Below are 10,126 nucleotides of genomic sequence, written 5' to 3'. Positions count from 1 at the left end.
ATAAATAAAAATAAAAACAAAGTCTAATGAACCATATAACAGATATTCTAAAATATGTTCTACCCTTCAAAGCCAGTTAAGTCTAGTACCTGTTTCATAACAAACAACGATCCCAGTGAATGTTCTGCTGTAATTTCCATGGTGAGAAATAGTTCTTCATAGTCATGCGGCTCCCAGGGTTCTTCTGAATTGGTTTGGAATCCAAGACAAATGGTAGCTTGTTACTTTTAGCAGTCACCACCAGGTGACCCTGTATGGTGTGTGTGAGCAGAGAGGCAGGGTCAGCAAGGTCCCTGAGTATACTGGGTTAAAAAGTGCCCCTCCCCTCCTCACTCAATTCATGTCCACCTGGAACCCTCAGATTGCTACCTTATTTGAAAATAGGGTCTTTGTAGATATAATTAGTTAGGTTAGGATGAGGTCATACTGGATTAGGATGGACCCTAAACCCAATGACTGGTGTTCTTATAAGAAGAAAGAGACGGCTGGGCGCAGTGGCTCACGCCTGTAATCCCAGCACTTTGGGAGGCTGAGGCAGATGGATCACGAGGTCAGGTGTTCGAGACCAGCCTGACCAACATGGTGAAACCCCGTCTCTACTAAAAATACAAAAATTTAGCAGGTCCTGGTGGCGCGCGCCTGTAATCCCAGCTACTCAGGAGGCTGAGGCAGGAGAATCGCTTGAGCCCGGGAGGCGAAAGTTGCAGTGAGCTGAGATCGCGCCACTGCACTCCAGCCTGGGCCACAGAGCAAGACTCCATCTCAAAAAAAAGAAGAAAGATGGCCGTGTGATGACAGAGGCAGGGACTGGAGAGATACAGCCACAATGCCAGGAGCCACCAGAATCTAGGAAGAGGCAAGGAAGGACTCTTCTCCTTCCTTCAGAGGGAGCATGGTCCTGGCAACACCATGAGTTTCAACTTCTTGACTCTCAGACTTTGAAAGCATAATATTTGTATTGTTTTAAGCTGCGCAGTTTGGGGTAACTTGTTTCAGCAGCCCTAGGAAATGAATGAACTGAGGAATCCCTGAAGGATGTCACTAAAGGGGGGCAGGCAGAGTCAAGACTGTCCTCTCACTTGGGACTCCTGGGCAGAGGACTCTCAGCAGCTATGCTGTGGGCAGCGGGTGAGAGGAATGTCCTGGAGGGCCAGAGCACAGTGACCAGAGATGGGAGTATCTCATTTCAACCCAACTGCGGCTGCTGAGATGTGAGGAAAGTCCAACTGATGCAATCCTGGGAACGCAGAGTTAGAGCTGCAAATTAAATAGACTCCAGGAGTAAACTGGGAGAGAAGAGCCTCTGTAACATGGTGATCTTCTCAGTATACCAGCATGCATAAATTTAGGGCCACTGAGCCCAGCCTGAAAATTCTGCAAATAGTTGAACCACAGTAAATGGAAAGATTTTCATTATGAATTATGGGAAAGTGTTCCTTGGGGAAATCCAAGCTTGGTACTTGAGCCAAGACTCCACTCTAGCTGAATTTGGTCATGTATGCTTATATAATAATGAAATTGATACACTCTTTCACTATTTGATGGTCACAGCCAAATTATTTTTTAATGGTTGTGCTTAATATTTATTTACAAGCAGTCCTCCAGAAGGCATGGATTTCACTGAGGAGCTGACCTTGGTGAGGAGCTGTACTCCCACCATGATCGCATGACTCTGGCTGCTAGGGCTGCTTTGAGTTCCTTTTCTAAAGGGTGTTAGTGCTGGCCAGTGAGAAATTATAAATGGTTATTCTCAGACACAGCTTGGATTGATCCAAGACCTAGTTAACAAAGATGCTCTACATTAGGACAGAAAAGGTAACTGTGGAAACTTTTCTTTAGTTCTGCAAAACTTTTTCCAAACTATTATCTCTTCACATAGACTTTCCTAGACCCATATCCTCAAGGCTTTTAATAAGTAATGATTTTCTAGTCTGGATTCAAACCAAGACCTAAAGCCTCGAGTGCCTGCCAGGCCCAACCACATGGTGCTGCTCAGCGTCAAACCTGCATGAGTCTCCTCCCTTCCTTCTCTTAAAACCAATGAAGCTGGCCCAAAACCTTATTTCTGAAATTTTTATGTTTCATTTTTCCCAGAGGAATAAGATACATTCTGATCCCATAATAATCGAATCACAAAAGAAACCATTGAGGGCATTTGCTTTGCTGAACTGATGAGATGAATGATTAATTGTCTGGAATTCAGCTTCCTGGAGAGGCAAATGGAGGTATAGGAAGGCCAAAAATTAAAATTAAAATTAAAAACCAGAGGAAAGAGAAGAGAAGAAAAGGAAAGTAAAAGAGAAAAAGAAAGAAACGAAGGAGAAAAAACTATAAAGTGGAAGAGGGAGAAAGTGGAAAGAATATTCCTTTGGGTTGTATATTGTCTTCTAGGGCCACCATGACAAAATACCACGACTGGGGGATTTAAACAACACCAGTTCATTTTTTTCACAGTTCTGGAGACTGGACCTCCAAGATCAAGGTGCAGGCAAGGCTGGTTTCTTCTGAGGTTTCCCTCCTTGGCTTACAGATGTCCGTCATCTTACTGTGTCCACACATGGCCTTTTCTCTGCGTGTGTACCCTCTGGTGCCTCTTCCTCTTCATATAAAGATGCCAGTCATATTGGATTAGGGTCCAGGGAACAGGAGCAAAGGACCTGATGTGAGAGTTCAGCACTTGGTTCCAGCCTTGATTTCTCCCTTGGCCAGCCAATTCCCAACACCTAATCCAATATGACTCCTTCCAGCTGAGTGACTTCTTCAGGGACCCTATCCCCAAATACAGTCACATTTGGTACTTGGGGTTAGCACTTCAACATATGAATTTGAGGAACACAATTCAGTCCATAATAGGTTTTTTGGTGCCTACAGCTCGCCTTTAACAGGTTGTTTGGTGACCACAGCTATGCCTTCCCTGGTTTAAACTCTTTACCTCATTTCTTCTTGTTTACTATGGACTGAAATGCTATAACGAATGACTTCTCAGAGCTTAGGCTAGGCCCTGCAATTAGTTCATCCTTTTTCTTAGGAGAAATTATGTCCAGAATAATAGTGAATTAACATGCCAAAGGCACATACTATGTGCATTCACTATACTCACAACTACACCCAGTTTTTTATCTTTGAGAAAAATAAGGTTTAGAGAGATTAAGAAACTTTTTTAACACCCTGAAGCTAGTAGATTCAGCACTCAAACCTAGGTCTGCAACTCAAAACTCCATGCCTTTAAGCACCAAGTCACGCTGTCATGCCTAGAATTGAGGAGAAATATCAGAATGTTCTCTCTTGGCATAATTTAGCAGCAGCAAGCGGGTTTTATCCCCTGGATAGTGTGGTGAGGTGGTTTGCTTGAAGAAGCAGCCATAGTTTGTCTTTTCAAATTTCCTTAGATGCGGGGAGATTTCCACCCCCAATCCCTAAGCAAGAAAGGACAGAAGAAATACCCCTGCTTCTCTCTACCCCAGCCACTTATGCCTCCAGGGAACAGGAGCAAAGGACCTCATGTGAGAGCTCAGCGCACTTGGCTCCAGTCTTGATTTCGCCCTCAGCCGGCCAATCCCCCTTGCGCTCATCTTCTCCTCACTGGTGTAGTAAACCTTCTAGAGCAATCTCTTTCCCAAGAGAGGGAGAGGCCCCACAGGGGTCCTGCTGAGCCAGGAACCACGAAGACAAGGATTTCCAATTCCCTGTGAACTACAGCAAGCAAATTAGTCACACATCGAAAGCCACATTTTCCAGTCATTTTTATTAGTGAGAAAATGAGTGCTTTGATCTGCATCTCTCTGTTTTATTTCTCAATTGAGTTCAAATTCAGAGGGACGTAGGGGGTTTTTAATTGGCCTCTCATACAAAGAGTGAGAGTGAATTTTGGAAGCATACAGATCTAGATTTGAATCCTAGTTCTTCACTTACTAGCTATATGACTTTGGTTCAGTTACTCAAATTCTCTGAGCTTCAATTCCCTCAACTTCAAAGCAATAGTCATAACACCCACTTCACAGGACTCTTTTAACAGTTAAATGATGTAAAGTATATAAATCTCTGCACCTAATAAGTATTTAACAATTGTTAGTTTATTTCCTTCTTTTCTCTTCCTCTTAGTCACAATTCAACTTTCGTGAGTTATTTTTATTAAAGAAATATATTTCCTAGTCTGTAATCCTTTATTACAAATATTTAAGTTGATTTTAAAATATCTCATGGATATTGGCAATAAAACTAAACTTGTATAAATAAGTCTTACTGAGTTGCTATCTTCTGTAGATTTGGTCTTCATAGCTTGAATCTTTGAGAATATTTATCCTATTGGAAGCAATACATCTGATGTGATTATTTCAGCAGCATAAAAACTTTTTAATTGTATGATTTGGTTGTAGTAATTAGGCCCTTTAAAGGAACTACAAAATAGAAATTTGAACATGTAAACAATGTTAAACTTTTTAGTATCTGAAGTTATTATTTTGCCTTCAATGTACAATACTATTTAGAGAAGGTAAGAAAGGGATAAAATATTTTTAGACTTGAAACAACAATCTTTCAGATTTCGTTATTCAATTATTTTACATTTGTTCTGATGAGAACTAAAAGCTCAGCCTTCAGAGGCCACACAATGTTGCTTGCCCAATAGGTCCATGATTAAATGTCTTCTCACATAGAAAGAGAGCAAAAACAAACAAACAGCTGACAGGTGAGAGCTGAACATTTCTCACTGATGTGCAGCATGACTCTTCATTTGGAAGTGAAAATGACAAACAGGTGTGTGACATTGCCTTCAATAAGTAGTCAATCCCCATGAGCAGATCATGGCAGCTCTGCCTTTAGGCTCTGTGCTTAAGCAATTTTCTGGTCCAAGGCAGAAGATGTGCCTTAACAGGGCCCTTTGAACACAGGGTTTACAAAGATTCTACCTCGGGATGTAACAAGCTGTCATGGAGGCAAAGGCTAAGTTAGACAGATCCATGGAGATTTTGGCCTAATTCCTGGCTCAAAGCTTGAGCTCAGCAATGCTAATGATGACAGGGGACAGTCATAGTCCCAGGTGATGCTGAGCATCATCCAGGGCATCTTGGTCCCTTCTCTTGGGTATAGGCAATGATGATATTACCTTTCTCCAACATGGACTTGCTCAGTGCTGAACGCTGCCTTTCCTTCACCTTTAGATTTCTTTCTGCATTGGCTCCAGATCAAGGAAAAGAGAAATAACAGAAAATAACTCTAAGTTAGTTTTCTTGAATTTTTGGGGGATTGTTTGCCCTGAACCAATGAGGAAGAAGGGTCTGCTAGTGGGGAGAGGGGCACACCAGCTGGTTTCTTCTGTGCCTTCAGCCCATCCTCAACTACCCCCTCAGAAGTCCATCTTTGTTTCCTAAACTCACAATTCTTTAACAAGGGTCACAAAAGTGTGGCCCTTCCCCCTCTCCTGTTGGCTTAGAGGTCAGGAAAGGTAAAATAGAACAGAAACAGGGAGTGGGCATGAAGTCCCAAATTCCACCCCACTGTAGTCATACTCTTAGCTTTAAAGGATGTTGACTTAATATTTACCCTTCCTCCTTATAATGACATAAGGGGTTATAACTGCCATAACTTTGGACCGCCACCAGGGTTGGGGATTTGAAACAAAGTAAAGATGCCATCTCTGTGTTTTTTGAGAGCAGCAAGTTGTGGCTATCTTCCGTATGTAGTTTTTGAAGTGTGATTGAAGTTATTCCATTGTAATGAAACTTCATCGATTTTTCTATAGTAATTAGTGGAAAATAATACGAGATTGTATGAAGGTTATACACTATCTATTTAGTGACTGCCTTTGACATTGCTAATTGAACCAACTTATTGGAGCAGTAAAACGCTATTGAATGTTGCTTGCCTGGAACATGCTTAGATTGCCAGCATTAGACAGAAAGAACTACAAGATATAAGTAGGTGTGAGGCTGTTGAGGTCATGCTTCTTTTAGAATTAAGTTTATTTGGGATTTCAATAGTACAAAAACATTTCAATAGTATAACCAATATTTCAACTGTATAACAGAACACATACGCCCTGTGACAGGGCATGTCACTGTGACAAAATTAGTACACCATAGCAGCAACCTTGGAATTTGCATTTTTTAGGTTTCACAAGAAAAGGACTTGACCTCTATGACTCTGTGGTGGGGATGAAGGAGAAAATTGAGGAAGCCCCTACTGATTTTTCCCTGATAAAGGAGAGATTGTCCTTCCTGGGAAAGGACATCATGGTTAGCCTCATATTAGAGAAAAAAATTGGAATCTGTGGCAAATCTAATAATGATATGTCCTCAAATCGCATTTCATCCAAAAGTCAAGGCAATTGATGAAACACAGTCAGATCGTAACACCCTGGTCTTTTGCTAACATTCACACAACTCCTACTGGAATAGTGGAAACAACTAGAATTTAATGACCAACCCCCACCTGTTCCAGCAATCATTGACACTCGTGATTATGATATTATTTGGTTGTTTATTTTGCCCTTCCCTGTTACCCACAGAAAGGTAGCCCTTCACTAAGAAAACTCTATTAGGTGCCGAGAGGCTTATCTGAGGGAGATTTCAATATTATGGGATAAAATGAATGGTTGCACAATCCCATGTCCTAGAAATTCAAATATTCCAAGTCTTACATAGTTATCAGGTATTATGAAAATTCTCCTGGTTTGCTTTGTAAAAGTAACCAGAGTCTTTCCAAGGAGCTGACTTGTGTGGTTGTTGGAGGGTCTAAAATGTCATTAACTTGGGATACTCCTGGGTGTTTCCTTTCAGAAATATTATCTGACCCTACCCATATACTTCCTACTCTAGTCCCTATTGGGGATACTGACTGTGAGCCATCTCACAAAGGTAGGAACGCTATTAGGCCATCACTATTAGGCGTTTTGGTTTACAGGACTCTATTCTCCTTTCCTCAAAACTCGTTTCCTCAAAACTTTGACAAGATGGAACTTCCTTGCTGAGCTAATCTGTTGTGTTGGTTGTAGCATTTTATCTTATGCCTTATTACTCACTGTCAGAGCTCAGTGATGAAATGATAGAAAACTTGAGTCATTTTAGTGATGGGGACAGACTATCAGCTATAAAAGTACTGACGCATGTGTCCTAGAGAAATTGAAACAGGCTTATTGCTTTTTTTTTTCTTTTCCCCTCTGTAAAATGTCTTAGTTTGGCATAAGTGAAACATTATAGACCAGGATTTCTTAAATGTTAGCATGCTGCGTGCATCAAAATCACCTGGAGAATTTATTCAAACACATACTTCGTGCTCCAGCCAGAGTTTGTGACTCATTAGGTCTGGGCTGGGAGACACGGATTTGCATTCCTAAACTTCCAGGTAAAGCTAATGCTTCTGGTCCGGGGACCTCACCTTGGGAGCCCCAGTTGGTCACCTTATGTGAGACCAAAACTATTTCTAGTTTAAGTAGAAATCTTGTAGTTCTTGGTATTTCTGAAAACCACTTTCAAGAATGCTATGACTTTATATTTAGATGACCAATGGGACTTTAAAACAACTAGATTTAAGATCCCCCATGTATCTAGTACCTATATTTCTAAAAATAGGAATGGTCTCATGGTATGCTGTAATGACAGTAATGAGCATTAACTGAGGCTCCAAAGCTCTGTATGTCACTGTGCTAGCACTTAGCATACATCATATGTAATTCCTACAACAGTATAGCTTCTTAGAAATTATAGTTAATATGAATGGGAAAACTAAGCTCTCAGAGGTTACAGGTGACACGGTGGTTTCTCTGCAACTGGGATTTGAGCCCACACATCTCTCTGCTCCCAAACTTACATTAATTATTTCTTGATGAACTGAGTGGGTATTTGTTATTCCTAGGGTTTGAGAGTTGCCATCACTTAACAGGTATGGATATTCAAGACCAATCTTATGGAGGCTGATTATTTGTTAAATAATTTATGAAAGTGCACTAACTCTGAAATTATAATGTACCCCACTGTGTATACACAGGTATCAGCTACAAGTACAGAGGTCTGCAGACAGGCTTTCCTTCATTAGGAGAAACTGGAGGAAGCAGGAACACAGTTGATTATGCTCTTTAAAATAAAAAAAATCAAAAAGCAATTTCATTTTCATATTAAATTTTTCAGATATATAAGGTACAACACAATATGGAATGAAAGTTGAAGAAATGTGCCTAACTAGAATGTGATCATTCACATTTCAACCATTACCAGCCAGTGCTACTGCAAGAAGACCAAGTCTGCTTTCTTTCCCCTCCTTGAGCACTTTTGAGTTATCCCCTGTGCTTTTTGATTACAGACAAGTCCCAGATCTTTATCCTGTTTATGGCACCTCCAGGAGCCCTGCATGAAATTTCCTCCACTGCTTCCTCTCCTGTCCCTCTTTCCAGAAGGCTTCTGAAGGTTTCATTTTGTTGCCCGTTCAGTCTCAAGTAGTCCCCATCACTGACTCAAGTTTTCTATCATTTCATCACTGAGCTCTGATAGTGAGTAATGAGGCATAAGACAAGATACTACAACCAACACAACAGTTTAGCTCAGGAAAGAAGTTGCATCTTGTCAAAGTTTTGAGGGAAGGAGAATAGAGTCCTGTAAACTAAAATCCCAGTGATGGCCTAATAGTGTTTCTACCTTTGTGAGATGTCACACAGCCAGTATCCTTGACAGCTCATCCTCTTCTGAAGGAGAGCTGTTTACCCATCTCTTGGGAAGGTTCAAACTTTTTTTTTTTTTTCCTATTCTGCAATCTCTCCTTTTCAAGGTCAGACACAGAGGGAGAAGAATGAGACCTGGTCAAAAACATCTCTTTCCTCCTGACTTCTCACCCTTGATCATTTTCTTCCAGTTAAGAAAGTTACCTTTCTAGCTCACTGAACACATTCAATGGCTTCCCCCCTTCCTCCTTGAACAACAATTACAGCAAGCATAGAACCAGTTCACTTCATGCCAATTTTGTGACTCAAAAAGGGCACTCTTCTTATTTTTGTTACTTCGAAAATATTTGAGTCTGTGGGAAATGTCTTGGAGGACTTGCTTTTATTATTTCCTTGCACATGGCATTCTCAGTGCCTAGCCTCCTCTCACATTTAGGTGACCATTAGGGTCCATGCACAGTCTGTAACAACAACACTTCATAGCTGCCTTTTCTCTTTCCTGACTTCCATTAAGCAGAGTTATTTAAATTGTTTAGTTTTGTTTCTAACCATAAGAAAATACAGTCATGAAGGCAAAAGTGCTCATGATTCTTGGCTGTGCTCCCCTCCAGTCAGTGGCAGAGAACATCCATAGTCCCCCAACTCCCACTCAGGCTCCCAGCTGAGGTGAGCAAACATACCTGATCATGGTGGAAAATCCAAAAACAGGGACAAAAAAGCATTCCTGACCCAGGAGCAGAGTCTTCATGGTGTTACTGATCACTCACATCACCCCTCCAGCCTGTGCCCTGCTGGGCTCTGGGTCTGAATCTTCACAACTTTATGTCTTGGCTCTCAACACTGTGTCTCAGGGCTTGGTCTGGTCAATCTTTGCCTATAGTTCAAGTCATAAACTGGTTACCACATAACCTTCCTTTTACCCCAAATGTTGCATAAGATGAAGATGAAACTATGCATGTGGTCATAACCTGGCACCCACAAGTGAGGTTCATGTCAGTGAAACTTTTGAAGAATGAGAAAGTGGTTGCGTAGGGCAGTGGGTAGCAGGTAAGGCAGTAGCACCAATGACTTCCGTAAACAAATAGCAAATTCCATCCTTCCAGGCTTGGCAAATAGCAATCTCATTCTTTTTTCCTTAGGTAAACATTTAAAAGTAAAATATCTGGAACCAGACACTGGACAAAGAGACATTTGTTTTCTTTTTCTTTTTAAAAATAATCAAATAAGAAAAATTATTAACAGAAAAGAGATTGAGCATAAATGCCCAATATCATAAAAAAGATTTGTACTTAATACACATCTAAAATAAAGTTAAAGTGTCCTAAAAACATTTAGCATTTCAAACTAAGATATTTGCAGGAAGTGTAAGAAACTAACAAACAGTTTTTTTTTTTAATCCTCTAATGCAAAATTCCTTTTGTTGTTTGCTCGTAAGATCAAATTGCCCCTTTTTGGCACAGATGGGATGATATTTTA

The 10,126-nt window shown here is 40.8% G+C and overlaps 1 long non-coding RNA gene across 1 annotated transcript; it reads right to left on the bottom strand.

The window, feature by feature from the left end:
* Positions 1-1,535: 1,535 nt before the first annotated feature.
* NRAD1 (non-coding RNA in the aldehyde dehydrogenase 1A pathway) lies at positions 1,536-9,664 on the bottom strand. Its single transcript, NR_026955.1, has 3 exons — positions 9,331-9,664; positions 5,105-5,176; positions 1,536-3,693 (listed from the first exon to the last, which is right to left on the bottom strand). It is a non-coding gene; the product is annotated as a non-coding RNA in the aldehyde dehydrogenase 1A pathway (long non-coding RNA).
* Between the last annotated feature and the right edge of the window lie 462 nt (positions 9,665-10,126).

This window comes from Homo sapiens, chromosome 13, assembly GCF_000001405.40.
Source record: "Homo sapiens chromosome 13, GRCh38.p14 Primary Assembly".
Taxonomy (NCBI): Eukaryota; Metazoa; Chordata; class Mammalia; order Primates; family Hominidae; genus Homo; species Homo sapiens.
This window is presented reverse-complemented; position numbering and strand designations above follow the sequence as displayed.